At 34.9% G+C, this 22,021-nt stretch overlaps 1 protein-coding gene across 1 annotated transcript; it reads right to left on the reverse strand.

The window, feature by feature from the left end:
• Positions 1–833: 833 nt before the first annotated feature.
• UBE2V1P16 (UBE2V1 pseudogene 16) lies at positions 834–20,247 on the reverse strand. Its single transcript, XM_047442709.1, has 3 exons — positions 20,170–20,247; positions 1,386–1,518; positions 834–1,000 (listed from the first exon to the last, which is right to left on the reverse strand). Exons 1-3 carry the CDS (start codon positions 20,245–20,247, stop codon positions 834–836), a joined length of 378 nt encoding a protein of 125 aa, XP_047298665.1.
• Positions 20,248–22,021: the final 1,774 nt, after the last annotated feature.

The raw sequence follows: 22,021 nt of genomic DNA on the forward strand, positions 1-22,021 counted from the left end.
AGAGCAGTTAGAGAGTCTTTGCAACCTTACCTGATGGCTTCTGGTCAAAGCAAGGAAGTGTCATGGAAAGCATTGTGTAGTGATGGTACAAAAAGGAACTTGAGGAAGAGGGAGAAAAAAGCAGCACCTCTCCATAAAGGTGGGGAAGAAAAGATATGGGGAAAGCACTAAATTACTCATTGATGGCCAATCTCAGAGGGGATCAGAGGGGTTACAATCTATGCTTTGGCCAAGAGTGGAAGTGGAGGAATGTAGGGACAGGACATATAGCTTGGAGGGGGCATCATTTAAGACTTAAAGGAAGATAGCAGGGATGCATCTGAAGCACCCCACACACCCACCATTAGTCCCACAGGCTGTGACCTGAAACCTTCACATCTAATCTAATCTAACAAAGCCCCAGGCTAGAGGGCTATTGCAGGGAAGGTGAGAAGCAGGGGTGAGGGCTAGCAAGAAAAGGCAGAGATCTCAGGCCATGTAATTAGCAACAACGTGATTGTGTAATATGTCTTTTCACAGTTGAGTTAGATGTGTCCCGCTAGTTATGATGGGAACAATTTAAATATATTGTATTCATTCCAGAAGTTCAACTACGTGGACAGTGGTTACACTTGACAAGATGATTTGTTATAGAACAACTTATGTATTTGAAATGGACAAAAATTTAGTGTCACTTACAGTATCTTAAGGTAAATTTCCTTTGAATAGGAATTCCCTTTCCAGTACTTTGAGGTCTACAAGACATATCTAGAAAATTTACTACTGTGGAAAATGAAGACTCCTTAATTGAAAGGTGGGGGGAAGGAGGAAGCTCTGTGTTCTTTTATTTTTGATTAATTGCTGTAACACAGACCTTCAGTTGGCTGAGGGAGTTTCATATTTTCTTTAGACATCATTAGGTGCCACAGCTCTTGCAGGAAAACTTTAATACAACATGAATTTTGCCATTTTGATAGCATTGATATGGCTCTTGGGTCCACTACTCCGTTAGAACTATTGATTGTGAGATATATATATATATGTATTACTCAATCATGAAAAGAACAAAATAATAGCATCTGCAGTAACCTCGATGGAATTGGAGACCATTATTCTAAGTGAAGTGACTCAGGAATGGAAAATCAAACATTGTATGTTGTCACTCATAAGTGGGAGCTAAGCTATGAGGATCAAAGGCAAAAGAATAATATGATGGACTTTGGGGACTTCGAGGAAAGGGTGGGAGTGAGGTGAGGGATAAAAGATTACATACTGGGTACAGTGTACACTGCTCAGGTAATGGGTGCACCGAAATCTCAGGAATCACCACTAAAGAACTTATTCACGTAACCAAACATCACCTGTTTTGCGAAAACCTATTGAAATTAAAAAAAAAGAACTATTGACTCCATTCATATTAAATTTTGTTACAAATTTTACAAAAGGGAATGATTTAGATCCATATTTTATTTTAACGCTGTATATTTGGTTTTCATAAACATTCTGAGCCCGTGGTGGCTGCCATCTTGCATTGCTGTCCTAACTCACCATTATTATCGCAAAACAGATACAGACATGTGCTGCATAATGAGGCGTCAGTCAATGACAGACGGCATATATCACAGTGATCCCATAGGATTATGATGGGGCTTAAAAATTCTTATTGCCTAGTGATGTCAGTCATAGTTGTCCTAAAGTTGTAGCACAACGCATTACTCACAAGTGGTGATGATGGTGTAAAAAACCTACTCTGCTGCCAGTTGTATAAAAATAGAACACATATTATACAAGTATGTATAGTACATAATATTAATACTTGATAATGATGATAAATAATTATGTTACTGGTTTATGTATTTACTATATTTGGTTTTTTTTGAGACAGTCTTGCTCTGTCGCCCAGGCTAGAGTGCAGTGGTTCAATCTCTGCTCACTGAAAAGTTTGAACCTGTTCACTTCCCAGGTTCAAATGATTCTTCTGTCTCAGCCTCCTGAGTAGCTGGGACTACAGGTATTAGCTACCATGCCCAGCTAATTTTTGCACTTTTAGTAGAGATGGGGTTTTTCCATGTTGCCTAGGCTAGTCTCGAACTCCTGACCTCAAATGATCTGCCTGCCTTGGCCTCCTAAAGTGCTGGGATTACAGGCGTAAGCCGCAGTGCCCAGCCTGCATTTACTATAATTTTAAACATTATTTTAGAGTGTACTCCTTCTACTTATTTAAAAAAAAAAGTTAACTGTAAAACAGCCTCAGGCAGGTTCTTCAGGAGTTATTCCAGAAGAAGACATTGCTGTCATAGGAGATGACAGCTCCATGTGTGTTATGGTCCTTGAAGACCTTCCAGTGGGACAAGATGAGGAGGTGGAAGGCAATAATACTTACGATCCTGACTCTGTGTAAGCCTTGGCTAATGTGTGTTTATGTCCTACTTTTTAACAAAACTTTTAGGAAGTTGAAAAAAAAACTAAAAATAGAAAAAGCTTATAAAATAAGATTAATGAAAGAATGTATTTTGTACAGGTGTATAATGTGTTTGTATTTCTTAATTGTTAATATAAAAGAGTTAAAAAGTTTATAGGCTGGGCACAGTGGCTCACACCTCTTATCCCAGCACTTTGGGAGGCTGAGGCAGGTGAATGGCTTGAGTTCGGGAGTTCGAGACCAGCCTGGGAAACATAGTGAAACCTTGTCTCTACGAAAAAATTAAAAATTAGCTGGTCATGGTGGTTTGGGACTGTAGTTCCAGCTACTCCTGTGGGTGAGGTGGGAGGATCACTTGACCTGGGAAGTAGAGGCTGCTGTAAGCCACGATCACACTACTGCACTCCAGCCTGGATGACAGAGTAAAACCTTGTCTCAAAAAAATGTTTATAAAGGAAAAAAGTTACAATTAACCTAAGATTGAAGGAAGAAAAACATTCTTTTATAGATTTAGTGTAGCCTAAGTGTACAGTGCAGGCCTTCACAAAGTCACTAATCACTCAACAACTTACCTACAGCAGCTACCAATCTTGCAAGCCCTATTATACAGTAAGTGCTCTATACAGGTGTACTTTTAAAAATCTTTTATTGCATATTTTTGCTGTACCTTTTCTATGTTTAGATGTTTTTAAATACACTAACACTTACTATTGCGTTATAATTGCCTACCATATTCAGAACAGTAACATGTTGCACTCTTTTTTAGCCTAGGAGCAATTGGCTATATTATATAGCCTAGGTGTAGAGTAGGCTATACCATCTAGGTTGTAAAATATACTCTATGATGTTTGCACAACAACCAAATTGCCTGAGGACAGATATCTCAGAACATATCCCCATCATTAAGTGGTATATGACTGTACTTTAAAAGTACATATTTTGCCCATATTTGGGCAAAAGCTAGTCATGTCCCTAGCTTTTGCCCAAATATGTGCAAAATATGTACTGTTATTTTATATACAGTATATATACAGTATATACATTATGTATTTATATACAGTGTATATTTTATAGCTTAATATAAGGATGAATATATTACCTCTATGGTTGTGCTAATTATGAGGTAGCAAATGTGTTTAAATTGTTAATATAACTATATATAGACTTAACTATTAATTTTGGAATAATAAATAAGATGGGCCATAATAATAATAGAATTCTAAACATGTCAGTCATATCAAAGTGCTTTATATATACTCTTACTTAACTCTTACAACTTCCTCCCTTAAGGTAGTACCATTAATATTGCCACTTCAAAAATGTTGTGAATACATTTCTCTCTGTAAATAATTTATTTGTAATATGTTATTGCGAAATGAAATGAATTATGAAAATGCACTGAAGGTATATATAGTATGGTGACTTATTATAAGTCAAACTCCTGTGTACCCAACCCAAGTTAGGAAACAGAATCATACCACCAACCCCATAAATCCTTCCAATTTTGCTGTCCCTTCAAAAACTTCTCCCCTCTCCCTCTAAAATAACACCTATCTTACTTTTATAGTAGCAGCTTCCTTATATTTATTTAGAGTTATCAATTTTTATGAAACATTTTTATAAATTTTATTTAATCAATATGTTTTTCCTGTAAACCTTTGCTTTTATTAAAACTTATTTGGTGGAGGATCCGAAGAATATACTGTATACTCATGATGTAATTAAGCACATTTTTCTGTCTTTAGTCTTTTCTGCAAATTGGAGGCTGGACCTGAAGTCTAGCTCAGGTTAGACTCAGTTTTGATCTTTTTAGTAAAACTGTAGGTGGTGTTGTGTTTTTTAATCATAAAGAACATGACATTTGGTTCTCTATTTGTGATGTTGCAGCTACTAATGCGAACTGTCTAGACTGAGTAATTCATTACGATTGAAAATGGCAAAAGTTCTAATTCTACTATCACTTGTTTACTTATAAACAGATGCATCACTTCATCTCCTAATTCATTATGGAGGGGTAAAATTCATAAAGAAGTGGCAGGATAAATGCTTCATCTTTTCCTTTATTTACCTATTTCAACATAAAATAAGGGTGAAGCTCCAAAGTTGAACAAGTCACTTATCTTCGAATATAAATATGTACTCACGGATTTAACGTATTTAATCGTTCTAATTCATTGTAATGTTTGTTTTAAATTTTCAGTTGTGACATCTTAAGTTATGCAATTTTAATCATTTTATGTGTACAATTCAATTCAGTGGTATTAATTATATTCACAATGTTGCATAACCGTCATCACTACCCACATCCTAGTTTATGTGTGCTTTTGTCTTGATAGTATATTGGATTGCGTCAAATGCCTTTTGTGCACCAAGGAGAAGATCATGTGTTTTTTTTTTTCTTTTGTTCTACTAATGTAGTATATTACATTGATTGATTTACTTATGTTGAACTACCCTTGTATACCTGGGTTAAATCCCATTTGGTAATGGTGTATAATCCTTTAAATATGCTGTTGGAATCCATTTGTTAGTATTTTCTTGAGAATTTTTGCATTTAACTTCATAAGAAATATTTGTCTGTAAATTTATTTTGTTCTGATATCTTTTTCTGGCTTTGGAATCAAGGCAAGGCTAACCTCATATAATGAGTTAGGAAGTGGTTTCTGCTCTATATTTTGCAAGAGTTTGAGAAGAATTTGTGTTATTTGTTTTTTAAATTTTTCATAGGTTTTTAATTACTGATTCAATATATATATTGTTAAAGACCTGTTGAGTTTTTCTGCTTTTTATTGAGTCAGTTTAGGTAAGTTCTTCATTTCTAAGTTTTCTATTTCATCTAGTCTACCTAATTTTTGGGGTACAATTGTTCATATTATTCTCTAATAATTATTTTATTTTGTATAGTTGGTAATATATCTAATTTTAGTTATATATGCTATTGCTGATATATTAAAAATGATTCTAAAGACCCAATAAATGAGGAGATATACTTTATTCATTAACTCAAAGACTAATTGTGATGAAGATGGAAACTCTCCTCCAAATAAACCTATAGAGTCAAATTAATGTCAATCAAAATCCCTACAGGATCTCTGTTCAAAAATTTAAAAAATACTAACCCTACAATTCATATGAAAAGGCAAATGTACTAGAAATGTTCAAACATTTTGAACAATACATAATTTCAAAACTTTCTCTAAAGCTGAAGTAATCAAAACAGTGTGGCATTGATTAAAAAAAAAAAAAGATCAAGGGAACAGAACAGAGAGATCAGAATTAGACCCACAGAGATATGACCATTTGATTTCTGACAAAGGTGCAAAGGCAATTAAATGGAGAAATAATAATATTTTAAAGAAAATATGCTGAAACAATTAGACATTACCATTCAAAAAAAGAAAAAAGGAACCTTAACATAAATCTCATGCCTTATGCAAAATTAAAATTGGACTATAGCCCTAATAGTAAAATAGAAAACGATAAATCTTATGGAAGAAAACACAGGAACAAATGTATTTGAAGTTTGGGTTTGGCCGCATATTTTTTTTAATAGGGCACCAAAATGATAAGTACGGAAAGGCTGCTGAATAAAATATAGAATACTCCGTTAAATTTGAATTTCAGATAAATTATTTAAAATAGTATAAGTATTCTCGAAAACGTGTATTTTTCTTTGTTAAATTTGGTAACCCTCAAGATAGAAAACAGACCAATGATTGCTAGGATCTGAGAGTGGGGGGATAGGGATAGAATACAAATGGGTATGGGGGAATTTAAAGGATAAAATAAAGTTCTATTTCTTGATTGTGGCGGGTATTATATAACTGAAGGTGTTTGACAAAGCTGGCATAACTAAATGCCAAAAAGGATACATTTTACTATATTTAAAGTATACCTTAAGTTTGAAAATTAAAAAAATAATAGTAAAATGGTAATTATATAATTTAGGCAGATATACAGTTGTGCACTGCAAAATTCTTCAATTTTTTCTGAATACTGGAATTCTTTCATAATACAATAGTGAGGATAAAGTTAAAGAAGGTCATAAAGCAAACAAATAAAACAGAAAATAAAAACAGTTCTACAGGTTAGGGAAGTTATCTACTATTTCAAGAAACAGCTATTCTAGGGAGATAGCAAATGATTTGTATTTGTTGTGGCCATATTTGTCCTTAAAGTTCTTGGTGTAGCTGTTTCTAATCAGGTTGTGTGAGGCTAAAAAGGTCCCAGCAACATGTTCTCCAACTTATAAAATACCAAAACTCACATCTTCTTATTATTGGAGTTATTAGTGGTTTTTCCGAGATCAGAATAATTCTTGTGATCCCACACTGTTTTTTCAGGGCAAAGGTTTGAGTAGATGAAAGCTCAAATTTTTTGGTAAGGCCAACTTTACTTATTTCAAAGATAAATTTCTTGTTGTTTGTGCCATCTATAAAGCATATTTGCCCAATTTCCACAGCAGATTTGTGCGTACTTCAGTTAATGTGTTCTGTTTGGGGGCAACAACATAGAATGGTCAAGGGTAATGGTTTGAAAATACATTTTTTTGTTAAAATATGTATCTTCTTATGCCATTATTTTAAGAAAGGAGTAAAAATCAGGTTGGTATATCTGGAAGAGTAACCCAATTTTATTTGCTTGAATATATTAGGATGTTTTATGTATATTTAAATCCAAAATTTTACTAGTTTATGTCTACATACAGGCCTATTTTTCTATTAATTTATCCAGAACAAAAGTTGACATTTTTCTTCCTATTCTTAAGCATTGTTTCCTTAGATCCAGAGAATTTCATTTCTGATATTTAGTTATTCATTTCAAATAGTTTTGTTCCCTCTTTAGGACACCTAAACTTTATAGTTTCAATTTCCATTTTCCATGCTTATTTACTGATTTATACTTTGCTTTGTTTTATACTCATTCTTAATTTTGAAGAATGCAGGGTAAAGACACAATAATAGATTTTCTTCATATCACACATTTATGTCAGTTTTTGTTTTTTTTGGATTTCTGTTCTTTTTAACCACTGGCACATTTGCATCTCCTTGTATTGTTTTTGTTACCTATATCTTTCTGTTTCTCTGTGTTTTTTTTAATTATACTTAAACATTATTTTAAAGAGACAGGGTCTCAGTATGTCGTCCAGGTTGGAGTGCAGTGGCTATTCACAAGCACAATCATAGGACACTACCGCCTCAAACTCCTGGGCTCAGGTGATCCTTCTGCCTCAATTTCCTAAGTAGCCAGCACTACAGGTACATGCCACCATGCCTGGCTCATTAAATATTTTCTCTGTGATGCCATAAGCTTGAGCCTAAAAGACTGTTTCTTTTTAAAATTGTATTGAAGAATCAAAGCATAGAGAATCTTTAGCACTTTTCCATGGGCTGCTTGTAAATGTTTTCTCTTTTCTCTCCTTGGACCTACTTAGTGGCCACTGGGAGAAGACTGCCAGATAGTCTGAATCATAAATACCAATAAATAAAACTGAAACTCTCTTCTAAAAGAGCAAATACCTGGCTCAGAAGCAGTTATTACAATTGAGAGATAGGTATACCACTTCATACAACCATTTCACAACATTTTCTCATTTTTAAAGTAGTTAAAATAAACAAGCTAATGCACACGAAATAAAAAAAAACATGGCATCCCTATCCTTGGACTTTAAACTGGGAGAAAGATTTGTGTGGTTGTTTCCTAATTCAACTTCTGAAGTAACAGATACATTTACATTGTGCAGCTCTGCAATTTTCTACCACTTATTTTCTGACACTGGGATAGGAAAAACACAAACATAAAAATGAAAAATTGTATCTACAAGTCTTCACTACTACCTGTGCTCTTCACATTTCTTATTTGATGTACATCATTATAGTTGTGAAAACCATACTGCCAAGGAGAGGTACTAGGTGTGTGGCCTGTGCATCATATTTTGTCTTACTCAAGATTGGTACTTGAGTAGTAGAGGACTAGATATAAATATCCTAACTGACCTTGGATATTTGTTTTGGTGCCTATTGCCTGACTGAAAGCACCTTATCAACTTTAAGCCCGAGTTTGCCGTTTCAAGTAGAAACTCATGTTTCAGCCGCTGGTTGTTAACCTTTGTTCAACTCCTTGGATCTTTTATTTAGTAGACCTTCCTTCCAAATTCTGATATTCATTTTCAGTGTTTTTTCATTATTATGAATTTTTTTTTACTTTTTCTATATATTCATAGATAATTTAATAAGAAAGTAGGAAAGAATAGGGTATAAACTTGGTTACATATACATCATTTTAAAGTGCTTTCCTGAATGTTCTCAAATGTGGGCTTGAACTTTCTGACCCTTGGCTTACTTGTCATTTCTATCATACCCTCTTATTTATCTTTTGTTGTCTGTTATCTATTATCTATCTATCTATCTATCTATCTATCTATCTATCTATGTGTCTATTATCTCTCTGTCTATGTATCTATTTATCTTTAAATTTTTATTCTGGTAGAATACATATGACATAAAATCTACCATTTTAACTGTTTTCACGTGTACAATTTGGTGATATTAAGAACATTCACATTGTTGTGCGACTGTCACCACTATCCATCTCCAGAACTGTCATTACCCCAAACTAAAAATCTGTACCTATTAAATAATTCTCTATTCCCCACTACCAACAATTGCTGGTAACCACTATTCTCCTTTGTGTCTCTGTGAATTTAATATTCTAGGAAACTCGTATAAGTGGAATTATACAATATTTGTCTTTTTGTGCCTGCCTAATTTCATTTAACATAATGTGTTGAAGGTTTACCCATATTGTAGTGTATATTATAATTTATTTTTTAGACAAAATAATATTATATTGTGTGTATATATCACATTTAAAAAATCTATTCATTCATCAATAGACATTCAGGCTGTTTCCAGATTTTGGCTATTGTGAATAATGCTGCTATGAACATTGGTGTATAAATATTTGTTCAAGTTCCTTTTAAATCTTTTGTATATATACCTAAATGTAGAGTCACTGGATCATAAGATAATTCTATGCTTAATTTTTTGAGGAACCACCATAATGTTTCCCACAGTAGCTGCACAATTGCACATCCCCACCAACAAGAGTTTCAGTTTTTCCACATCCTGTCAATATTTGTCATTTTCTCTTTTGTTTTGGGTAATAACCACTCTAATGGGTGTGAACTTGTATTATATTTTGGTTTTGATTTGCATTTTATTAATAATTAGTGTTCTTGGGCATCTTTTCATGTCCTTATTGGCCAGTCAAATATCTTCTTTGGAGAAATGTCTATTCAAATAATTTGCCCATTTTTAAACAGAGAATTGTTGTTGTTGTTGTTGAGTTGTAGTGTATTCTGCTGAAGGAATCCCTTTAGTATTTCTTTTAGAGTCTTTCTAGTGGTATGAAGTTACTTCAAGCTTTTAAAATCAGGGGAAGTCTTCATTTCTCTTTTGTTTTTGAAGGATAGTTTTGACAGTTATAGAATTCTTGGTTGACAGTTGTTTTTTGGGGCTTCCACAGTTTTACATGAGAAATATGGTGCTTATCATGTTGGTAATCCCTTGTATGTGATGTTTCACTTCTCTCCTGCTGTATTTACGATTCTCTGTTTGTCTTTCACCAGTTTGATTATAATATGGTAATGTGGGTCTCTTTGAGTTCATGCTACTTGAAGTTTATTTACCTTAGCTTTATAGATTCATATCTCATGAAATATGGGAAGTTTTTAGCCGTTATTTATTCATAATATTATTTCTTCCTGTCTTTCTCTCTTCTCCTTCTGGAACTTCTAAACTGTATATGTTGCCCCACTTGATGGTGTTACACAAGACTCTTTAAGCTTGGTTCACATTACTTTGTTCTTTTATCTTTCTCCTTGGAGTCAATAATTTTAACTGTACTATCTTCAAATTCACTTATTCTTTCCTCTGTCTGCTCCGGTTTGCTGTTGAACCACTCTCATGAATTTTTGATTTTAGTTTTCATAATTTTCAGCTCCAGAATTTGTTTTTTTCATAATTTCTATCCCTTTATTATATTTTCACTTTGTTATATATTGTTTCCCCTATTTTCTTTAGTTCTTTGCCTATGTTTCCTTTAGCTCTTTGAATATATTTAAGACAGTTGTTTTAAAGCAATTTTCTAGTAAGTTCAATGTCTAGACTTCCTCAGGTATAGTTTCTTTATTTTATTTCTTTAAATAGGCCATACTTCGCTGTCTGTTTGTATACCTTTGGTTTTTTTTGGGGGGCGGGGGTGGGGGTTAAATGCTGAACATTTGAATATTATAATGTGGTAACTCTGGAAATCAGATTATCCCCCTTCCCCAGGGTTTACTGTTTTGTTTTGTTGTTGTTGTGGAAGGCTAGTAGTCCTTTTGTTTAGTGACTTTCCCAAACTATTTTGTAAATTCTATATTCATTGCTATGTGTAAGTTACTTCCTTATGTATGTGTTTCCTTAACATTTGACAGATAGTTCCTTGAATGCCAAGAGCTAAAAAGATCCAAAGAACAAGAAACAGACTAAAAAGTCTCACTTCTATTAGTCTTTGTAGATTTGCTTTGTACAAAAGCACTTCTTCCATATTTAACCATTATTGAACTGACCTTAAGGATCAGTCTTAGTTGATAGCATAGCATCATCTCAGGTCTTTTCTCTGCATGCATGTGGCTTTCTAAATTTCCCTGTATATATGGGTCTTTTATATATATGTTTTTTAATTTTAAATTTTTCTTTATAGATGTAGTGGAGACAAGAGTGGTTTAGTTACATGGATATATTCCCTAATGGTGAAGTCTGGGCTTTTACTATAACCATTATCCAACTAGTGTACATCGTATCCATTAAATAACTTATCAACCTTCATTTTTTTCCCATCCTCCCACTCTTCCAAGTCTCCCATGTCTATTATTCCACTTTCTATACATGTGTATACACATTATTTAGCTCCCACTCATAAATGAGAACATGCAGTATTTGCCTTTCTGTTCTTGAGTTATATCACATAAAATAATGACCTTTAGTTCCATCCACGTTGCTGCAAAAGACATATCACTCTTTTTTATGGTTGAGTAGTATTTCATTATATACATATATATATATATCACATTTTCTTTACCCAATCATTAATTAATGATCACTTAGATCAGTTCTATATTTTTACTATCGTGAATAGTGCTGCAATAAACATACAACAGTGCATATATTTAATATATAATGATTCTTTTTCTTTTGAGTAGATATCCAGTAGTGGGATTATTGTTTGGAAGGAGTGCTTCTGTACAAAGCAAATCTACAAAGACGAAGAGAAGTGGGTCTTTTTAGTAGTGAGATCAAATGGTAGTTCAATTTTTAGTTCTTTGAGAAATTTCCATACTGTTTTCCATAGAGTTTATACTAATTTACATTCCCAACAATAGAGTATAAAGGTTCCCTTTCTTCTGTATCCTCACCAACATCTGTTATTTTTTGGGTTTTCAATAATAGTCATTCTGAATGGTAGAAGGCGGTATTTCATTGTGGTTTTAATTTACACTTCTCTGATGAATAGTGATGTTGAGCACTATTTCATATGCTTCTTGGCCATTTGTATTTCTTCTTATGAAAAATGTCTGTTCATGTCCTTCGCCCACTTTTTAATGGGATTCCTTGGATGTTTTTGTTGTTGTTGTTGAGATATTTTGAGTTCCCTGTAGATTCTGGGTATTAGTGCTTTGATGGGTGCATGGTTTGCAAATATTTTCTCTAATTCTGCAGCTTGTCTGTTCACTCTGTTGATGATTTCCTTTGCTGTGCAGAAGCTTTTTAGTTTAATTAAGTTACCGTTGCCTATTTTTGTTTTGTTTCATTTGCTTTTGAGGTCTTAATCATGAATTATTTGCCAAAGTTAATGTCCAGAAGAGTATTACCTAGGTTTTCTTCTAATATTTTTATAGTTCCAGGTATTATATTTAAGTCTTTAATCCACCTTGAGTTCATTTTTGTATATGGTAAAAGATAGGGGGCCCAGTTTCATTTTTCTGAATGTGTCAATCCAATTTTCCTGGCATCATTTGTTGAATGGGGTGTCTTTTCCTCAGTATATGTTTTTGTAGACTTGGTCAAATATCAGTTAGCTGTAGGTATGTGGCTTTATTTCTGGGTTGTCTATTCTGTTCCATAGATTTATGTGTCCATTTTTATATCAGTGTCACATCATTTTGGTTACTATAGCCTTATAGTATAATTTGAAGTCAGGTAATACGATGCCTTCAGCTTTGTTCTTTGTGCTTAGGATTGTTTTGGCTATTCGAGCTCTTTTTTGATTCCATATAAATTTCAGAATTGTTTTCCTAATTCTTTGAAAAATGTTGTTGTTATTTTGATAGCAATCACATTGAATCTATAGATTTTTGGGGGGCAATATGGTCTTTTTAATGATATCGATTCTTCTGATTACACAGGTCCTTTTAAATGTACTGATTCCCCAAAAGTCTCTCCTCTTTTGGGTGGAATATACTTGGGTGGACTATTGTATGTTTTTTCCATAATATTTTGCTCCAGATTTTTCCTGGATATTCTAGCTTGCAGAATGTTTTTGCAAAGCCTGTCATTTTTTCAGCCTGACCTCTAAGTTAAGGGAAACAGGTATGATTATCTTGTGTCTATTCCTCAAGTATTCTCCAGGAAGGTTAGAACAGGCATATACAATAACTTGTGAATGAAGCCTGTTCTGCTCCCTTTATATCCTGAAATCAGTCTCACACACTGGGAATGCAGGCTTCCTTCTTCAAGATTATTACCATAGTAGAGAGAGCATGCCAAGGGCTACTAAAAATGCCACAAAGTTTTATGTTATGAAATTGCCCTTTTCTTGATTCACTGTTTTCTTAGTTGTTCTAAATCTTTGACTGATAAATTCTACTTTTTAAATTTTTTAAAAATATTTTTCTGTGGGGGAACGAGAGCTTGGACCTGCCAATAATGACATTTTGCTGTCATAATGCCCCTACTGTAATCCTTTTTGAGGCTCACTTTCCCATACTTGTTTAATAAATTTGGCTTCAAATTAGTCTGTGAGTTCTTTTAACATGACCCTAATAGTTCTTTGTAGCATACTCACTATTTTATATGATAATATGTGCCTGACCTGGAAACAGCCAATTATTTAAAATGCTTTTCTTTTGATGGAACATGGTGTTTCAAGTCCACAATGTGAATGTTAGAGTGCTTATTGCTTCTTGTTTAATGTTTCTAGTGTTTTCCATGGATAGAGCTGGAGGAGATAGTTAGATATGTAGCTAGACAGAGATAATACCTCATGAGTTCATATGTGTACTTTCAATTCCAATTCAGGGCTACATCGTTTTTACTTAACATCATCTATATTATATCTTTACTTTCTTCTATTCCCAACCAGTTTCAGCTGCTATTCTCAGTTCAAGTCAGCTGTATTTCTAGTGAACGTTTTTTTTTTTTCTATGTGTTCTTAGGTTAATCAAATGCCCTGCTGTTTCCTTTTGCTTTATTCTGCACAATTCTTGATATCATGCTGTTCTTACCATGTTGGTATCAATCATGCTCATATGCTTGTATTTTGGGATCGTGGTAATATCTTGTTACCTACTTTGTTGCAAGTGTTGCGCATGAGTTTTCAATTTGATATCTAGCTGTTATGTTTATTTCTGAGAATTTAGAGATTCAAAACCTGTGCTGCTATTGTCATCATGTTCCCAAATCCTTTCCTGTAATTATCATTTTGTGTTTAAGGAAATTGACGCACAGAGAGATTAAATGACTTGCTCAGTGTTACAGAGCAATTATCAAGGCCAGGATTCAAGCCCTAAAAATTTAACTAGAGATATAAGTTTAACTTCTACTCTGCTGCCTCATCAACAAAGTACATCTTTATAATTGCCTAGGAGGAGGACTCTTTTTCATCTTTCTTGTGCCTATGAGTTCATAGAAAGGGGATTTTGTTTCTATTTGATTGAGGAAGGGAGTTACGGAGAGGAGTTTAGGGGAGAATATTTCCAGTTTCTCTCTCCATTCCTACACTCTCCTTCTCAAGGATTGCGTTTTATCCAAAAAACAAAATAAATGTGTAGAAAAAACAAGGCAAGCTTATTGAAAGCTCTTTGGTCTCTCTCTCTTCTTTTTCCTGTCTTGGACTGTCAGTTCTGGTGGCTTCCTCCTGCAAACCCAGCTACTATTTTGTCATTTTTCTAATTTATTCAACTGAACTACTAAAGTATGTCTACCTTTTACTAGAAGCTAGTTATCTCAAAAATTGGTTTGTAGTGAGGGAGTAGGAGGCCAAATTTTAGCTTTAGAAACAAATCTAGTTTTTAAATCTAGACTTATTACAGATAAAGCTGATTATTTATAACTCCATTTAGCTTGTGCCCTTACTCAGTCCAGCAAAGGGATAAATATTTGTCATGTGAAACATCATAGAATCTTAGTTGTTGAGAGGAAGTTTTATTCTTGCCTTATCTAACCAGTTGTTTGATAATCCACAGCCAGCACACCATATACAGAGGGCTAAGCATTCAAAATTGCCTCTTTTGAACACTTGTAATTACATGATTCTCTTAAGTAAAAATGGCTGGTTTTACCTTTTCAAGTATTTCTTCATTTTCCTATTTTTAATAGGCATAGAAACAATACAATGTAATGGTTAAGAGCCAGAACATTGTATCAGACACATTTATAGCCTTGGGACCTTGGATGAGCTACCTCTAGATTCTGTTAAGCTCATGTCTTTATCATTAAAATGGGGCTAACTGTGGCTTTCTAATAATGTTCTCATGAGATTTAAATTAGATCATATATGGAAATCTCATAGCAGCTCCCAAAGTAAGGGATGAAAAATATTTGTTTCCCTCTATTTTCTTACTAGACACTTTCACTTGGTTGGCTTATTTCATATATAAAACCCCATATGTTAGGCATTAATCTTTCTAAGGACCAGCATCATTACCTAGGAGTGTGTGGCTATGACATGCTGCCTTACTCTTTAAGAAGATACTCATCTTCAATAGAAGAAACTGTATCTGTGGAACAGTAAAAAGGCCAGACACTGTTCAAGATATGTAACACAAAAAGGAAGCTGGTAGGGGAGAAACAAGCTGGAATAAGGCCAAAATTTAGAAGCAAGTTCAGACAAAAGAGTAGTGTAGGCTTCATTGCCAAAAGGAGTGATGGAAGTGCCATGGACCTAGAGGTAGAATCAGCAACAGCTCCAGGTTCAGGCTAGATCAGAACACAAGTAGAGCAAGAACAGAGAGATATCAAATTACCCAGAGCCACTGGGGGACCTGCTGCATTAAGAGGCACCTGGATATCTCACCTGCAAATTGAGTACCTCAACTGTAAATCCCTCAGAAGCTCCAGGAAAATGCAGAGGTTGTTTTGTGGTTGTATACTCATTTTCCTTCTCATTGTGGCCATGGGACTTACCATCAAGCATCAAAGCAGATAAGAGGAAAGACATCTTGTAAAGTAAGAAACAGCAGGACAGAAATGTGGAGGGCCTACACCTAACAGAATGTTCACTGTTACCCTACTCCTTGGTTCCCAGGTGGAAGAAAAAGAAAGTTTTACAGATGTATATTTCTCGAAACAAGTAGGGCATCACTAAAATCTTAGAAATCTTTGTTAAATGGAAATTTCCATCACAACCATTCAAGATATGTTTACTGTGACACAAGAGCTAGGCTACACTTTTGGTGAAGGGCAGCAATAACATATGGGGCCTACAGGCTACTTTAATACAATCATAGTAGGCTGTGGTGTTTCAGTCTGTAATTGTAAACGTTTGCACAGGTCAGGCTTTCATATAGTCCAAGTAGGTAGTTCCATACATAGTGAGCTTGGAAGTACCCTGGTACCAACAGATTCCTTTTCCATCTGCTTGCTGAAAACAAAATTATTTAGCTAGTGATAAAGCATCTTGTTCCTTAAGAAGAGAAATGCTATGAAACAAACAACAAATAAGAAAGGGAGAAAAGGAGAATAAGAGAGGATAAATTCAGAAAGCCCAGGGTATGGGTATTAAGTGATGGACAGGAGATTGAGTGTTATAATTCAGTTGAAAGAAGGAGGAGGCCTAACGGGTGTACACACACACACACAGCCTTTATCTTTTGTCCTTGAGTTGAACCTATCTGTTATTTTTCCATTTGTATGGCAAGGCAGAGTCCATTGCCTGTCAATAACCTAGTATTGGGCACCTGCTGAGCCAAGACCTGTAGTACAAATGTTCTCCAACCTTCAAACAGAAGGTATTTACTCTTGCAGACAAACAGCCTGGCATACAACTTATGTTTCAACAGTTTAAGTGGTATTTAGCTTTCCAGGCCAGTCTTCCAGAGCCCATTTGTTTGCTAAGCAGTAAAACTAATAGCATAAGCTTGAGAGCTGAAATCCAAAGCCAGTGGACAATTTAGAGAGGAAGAGAGGAAGTCCAGGAAGAAGAAAAAGTAGGCGAAAGAGTACAGATTATAGAGAAGAAAAGATGATTGAAAGGGAAGTATCAGAAGTCATTGCCAGAGCCCGTAAGTCTCGTGCCTATATAAACTCTGGCCTCTCATTCTTTTCAGTCTATTTTCTACCTTCTTGCTGGAGTGATAGAAGACAGCTATAAATAAAACCATGATGCTCTACTGCTTATAAGTTGTATCAATGGAATAAAAATCTAGAGCTTGCAAAATCCAATGTGATTTGGATTCTACTTACATACTTAATGTAATGATTCTTTCACTCTTCCTAAGAAATCTGGTTTTCTTTCAGATCCTTGAAGATGCCCAATTCCTACCTATAGCAGTCTTATTCTAACCAAGCAAGAATAGGGATTGGAGAAAGTGATATTCATATAAACTGCTATCTGCCCTTCAGGTCTCAGCTTAAATGTTTTTAATCAATATTGTTTTTATTGATATCCCACCCTAAAGCTCCCAATCTTGATCAGTATTTCTTATTATACACTCTTAGAATATCCTTTATTTTCCTGTGTGGTGCTAATCAGAATTATATAGTTTTGTGACTATTCTTCTATTTCCTGTTTTTCCTACTAATCTGTAGCCAGCATTAAAACAATAACAGCACTGATTATTCACTGTTGTGTTCTCAGCACCTAACCTAGTGCCTGGCTCAAAACTATATTGAATAAATGAACGCATGCATGAAGAAATACATGGTCCAAATAAGAAGTTTTTTTAACTTCATATATGCTGTGTATGAGTCATGAAGTTTCTAGTAAAACTTTAAAATAGGCACTAGAAGCCTGTCATGCTCCAAATAATCCTCTCTCCCAATATCCTAAGTGCCCTTATGCTACTTGAAACCTCCTAAGTTTTTCCTCCTTTCAATTCAGCCCTACTAACTAAGTGCTCAATATTCTGAAGTTTTTCTAGCATCTCATTCTTTCTTCCACTTATTGAGATCACATGTTCCCTTAAAAACTCCACATTACAATTTTTTTAAAATTATACTTTAAGTTCTGGGGTACATGTGCAGAACGTGCAGGTTTGTTACAGAGGTATACATGTGCCATTGTGGTTTGCTGCACCCATCAACCCGTCACCTACATTAGGTATTTCTCCTAATGCTATCTCTCCCCTAGCCCCCCACTCCCGAACAGGCCCAGGTGTGTGATGTTCCCCTCCCTGTGTCCATGTGCTCTCATTGTTCAGCTCCCACTTAGGCGTGAGAACTTGTGGTGTTTGGTTTTCTGTTCTTGTATTAGTTTGCTGAGAATGAGGGTTTCCAGCTTCATCCATGTCCCTGCAAAGGACATGAACTCATCCTTTTTTATGGCTGCATAGTATTCCATGGTGTATATGTGCCATATTTTCTTTATCCAGTCTATCATTCATGGGCATTTGGTTTGGTTCCAAGTCTTTGCTATTGTGAATAGTGCCACAATAAACATACGTGTGCATGTATCTTTATAGTAGAATGATTTATAATCCTTTGGGTATATACCCAGTAATGGGATGGCTGGGTCAAATGGTAGTTCTGGTTCTAGATCCTTGAGGAATCGCCACACTGTCTTCCACAATGGTTGAACTAATTTACACTCCCACAAACAGTGTAAAAGTGTTTCTATTTCTCCGTATCCTCTCCAGCATCTGTTGTTTCCTGACTTTTTAATGATCGCCATTCTAACTGGCATGAGATGGTATCTCATTGTGGTTTTGATTTGCATTTCTTTAATGACCAGTGATGATGAGCTTTTTTTCATACGTTTGTTGGCAGCACAAATGTCTTCTTTTGAGAAGTGTCTCTTTATATCCTTCACCTACTTTTTGATGGGATTTTTTTTTCTTGTAAATTTGTTTAGGTTCTTTGTAGATTCTGGATATTAGCCCTTTGTCAGGTGGATAGATTGCAAAAATTTTCTCCCATTCTGTAGGTTGCATGTTCACTCTGATGATAGTTTCTTTTGCTGTGCAGAAGCTCTTTAGTTTAATTAGATCCCATTTGTCAATTTTGGCTTTTGCTGCCATTACTTTTGGTGTTTTTGTCATGAAGTCTTTGCCCATGCCTATGTCCTGAATGGTATGGCCTAGGTTTTCTTCTAGGGTTTTTATGGTTTTAGGTCTTATGTTTAAGTCTTTAATTCATCTTGAGTTAATTTTTGTATAAGGTGCAAGGGAGGGGTCTAGTTTCAGTTTTCTGCATATATCTAGCCAGTTTTCCCAACACCCTTTATTAAATAGAGAATCCTTTCCCCATTGCTTGTTTTTGTCAGGTTTGTCAAAAATCAGATGGTTGTAGATAAAAACTCCACATTACGTTTTATGGGGCATCTTCTTTTTGGGTGCTTCAGTGAAGATGGAGAGAGAGCAACAGGAAGGTGGAGGGGAACAGAAGGCACCTGATGAACATTTGTTTATATTGGTTAATGTGTGTTCATTTGTAGACTCCAAGACAGTTATTGCTGTAGACCAGGAATTGACATTTTTTTTTGTAAATAGCCAGATAGTAAACATGTTCAATTTTTCAGGATATGCATTCTTAGTTAAGCTACTAAATTCTGCTGTTGCAATGGAAAAGCAGCTACAGTTAATATATAAAGTGATAGGTGTGGCTGTGTTGCAATAAAATGTTATTTACAAAAACAACCAGCAGGCTGGTTTTGTCCCAAAAGCCATAGTTTATCCACTCCTGCATGTAGAGAGCTATTGACCAGAGCAGGGGCTTTGCCTCATCACCTCGTGCCTGATTTAGACATGCCTCAGATGCGGGGGTATCCCCTGAGGAATAATTCCTTAGTGGCAAGGTCAGATGGAATGTAGGACACTGAGAACACAGATATCAGGCCTTTTTTTCCCTCTCTGACACAAACCTTATAAATGAGTAGTGTATAAGTGGAGGAGTGGTCAATCTATTGTACCATTTCAAACCCTGACCTTTCTACAGCAAGCGTAATTACAGGTAAAACCACTACTCGATTAATATATCAAGGGATCTGATCTTTTGTATCTTATTTTTATGTATGTGAATTGGATTTCTAGAGAACTGAACAGTACTTGAAATCCTTCAGGCATATCACAAGCTTGGGAACAAATATATGCAACTTACTGCTGTGGGTTTTTTCCCTTGAAGAATCAAAGAGAGGAAAGAATATGGAGTTGGTTAGTTATGTAGGAGCTCTGTGAGACAACAAAGGCCATGCTAGGGAATAATACATAAAATGAACCAGTTCAGATGATGTTGGTGATTTAATCTAGGGCCGTGTGGCATAAATTTACATACTTGAGTCCAGAATATTACCTTGGGCTCTAAGCCAGATGTTGCCCCTTCAAAACAGGCACTGGATGCTGCAGGAGATACCCCTTTGCCAAATGGCATTATCCATGAACAAAACCCTCTCTACTCCCCTTTGCTGGGTATTGGAGTATCTTCTCGTGGAGTGTTAGGAGCAAAACCAATACAATAAATTTAAAGTATGAACACAACTTCCTAATTGGGCATTTACATCCTAGTTGAATGAAGGTCTAGGGGCATCCTGACTTTGAATACCAAAATCGAGCTAACATATTTATGATACTCTTCTGTTTGAATATGTCATAAAGCTTTAAAAAGTAGACTCTGGAATCACAGAGCCTAAGTTCAAATCCTGGTTGCTCACTTACTATGAGACCTTGAACATATTACTTAAGCCCTCTGTTTCTTGGTTTCTAAAACTTTAAAATTAGTTAAGTTGAAATAATACATGGGAAGTGCTTAGTTCACTACCTGGCACACAGCTTTCAAGATGTTAGCTATTCATATTATTGTTTTACTTTTTACCTTCCTGAGCTATTGCCAATGTTAAGGTGAGAGTGTATGGAATAGTATGAAGAAAGTGGTTTTGAAATCAGACAAATCTAAGTTTAAATACTGTTTCAAATATTCATTAGCTGTGTGACTATGGGCAGGTTATATACATTAGCTTATTTATCAATACATCATTCTGTTTTCTCTTTTATAAAACAGGAATAATGTTATGAATGTATTATGAATAGAAATAATAATAAATAGGAGGATCCAATCTAACTAAATGTTAATTCTTGCCTTAAATCTGGCTGGACCTTGAAATAACTTATTTTTTAAATTTTAAAATATTTGTATTTTAATAGCTTTTGGGGTACAAGTGTTTTTTTGTTGTTGCGTGAATGAATTATGGAGTGGTGAATTCTGAGATTTTAGTGCACCCATCACCGAGAAGTGTACATTGTACCTAACAGGTAGTTTTTTTCCATAGTCCCACTCCTACCCTCCTCCTTCTGGGTCTCTAAAGTCCATTATATCATTCTTACGCCTTTGTGTTCTGATAGCTTAGCTCCAATTTAAAAGTGAGAACATATGGCTTTAGATTTTCACTCCTGTTACTTCATCTAGAATAACAGCTTTCAACTCCATCCAAGTTGCTGCAAGATACATGATTTTGTTCCTTTTTATGGCTGAGTAGTATTCCATGGTGTGTATATATACCACATTTTCTTTATCTACATATTAGTTTATGGGCATTTTGTTTGGTTCCACATTGTTACAATGATGAACTGTGCTGCTATAGACATACATGTACAAATGTCTTCTTCGTATAATGAGTTCTTTTCCTTTGGGTAGATACCCAGTAGTGGGTTTTCTAGATTGAATAATAGAACTACTTTTACCTGTTTAAGAAATATCCATACTGTTTTTCATAGAAGTTGTACTAATTTACATTCTATCCAGCAGCGTAAAACATTCCCTTTCCACCACATTCCCAACAACATCTATTATTTTTCTATTTTTTGATTATGGGCATTCTTGCAGGAGTAATGTGGTATCCCATTGTGGTTTTGATTTGCATTTCCCTGATCATTACCAATGACGAGCATTTTTTCTTATGTTTTTTGGCCATTTGCATATCTTCTTTTGAGAATTGTCTATTCATGGCTTTTGTCCACTTTTTTCTTAATTGCTTTTTAAAATTTTTCTTTTTTATTTCAATAAGTTTTTGTGGGACAGGTGGTGTTTGGTTACATGGATAAATTCTTTAGTGGTGATTTCTGAGATTTTGATGCATCCATCAACTGAGCAGAGAGCACTGTACCCAATATGTAGTCTTTTATCCTTCAGTCCCCTCCCACCCTTCCCC

This window comes from Homo sapiens, chromosome X, assembly GCF_000001405.40.
Source record: "Homo sapiens chromosome X, GRCh38.p14 Primary Assembly".
NCBI lineage: Eukaryota > Metazoa > Chordata > Mammalia > Primates > Hominidae > Homo > Homo sapiens.

Bases quoted from the DNA above. Each gene is read 5' to 3' on its own strand.
- UBE2V1P16 (XM_047442709.1), bottom strand. From the start codon at position 20,247: ATGCCATTTGGCAAAGGGGTATCTCCTGCAGCATCCAGTGCCTGTTTT. The intron at 1,519-20,169 runs GTAATATTCTGG...ATGGTGAGTTAG, and splicing joins CATCTGGCTTAGAGCCCAAG to GACAGCAATGCAAGATGGCA. The intron at 1,001-1,385 runs TCAATAGTTCTT...TATATCTCACAA, and splicing joins AAAATTTAATATGAATGGAG to TCAATAGTTCTAACGGAGTA.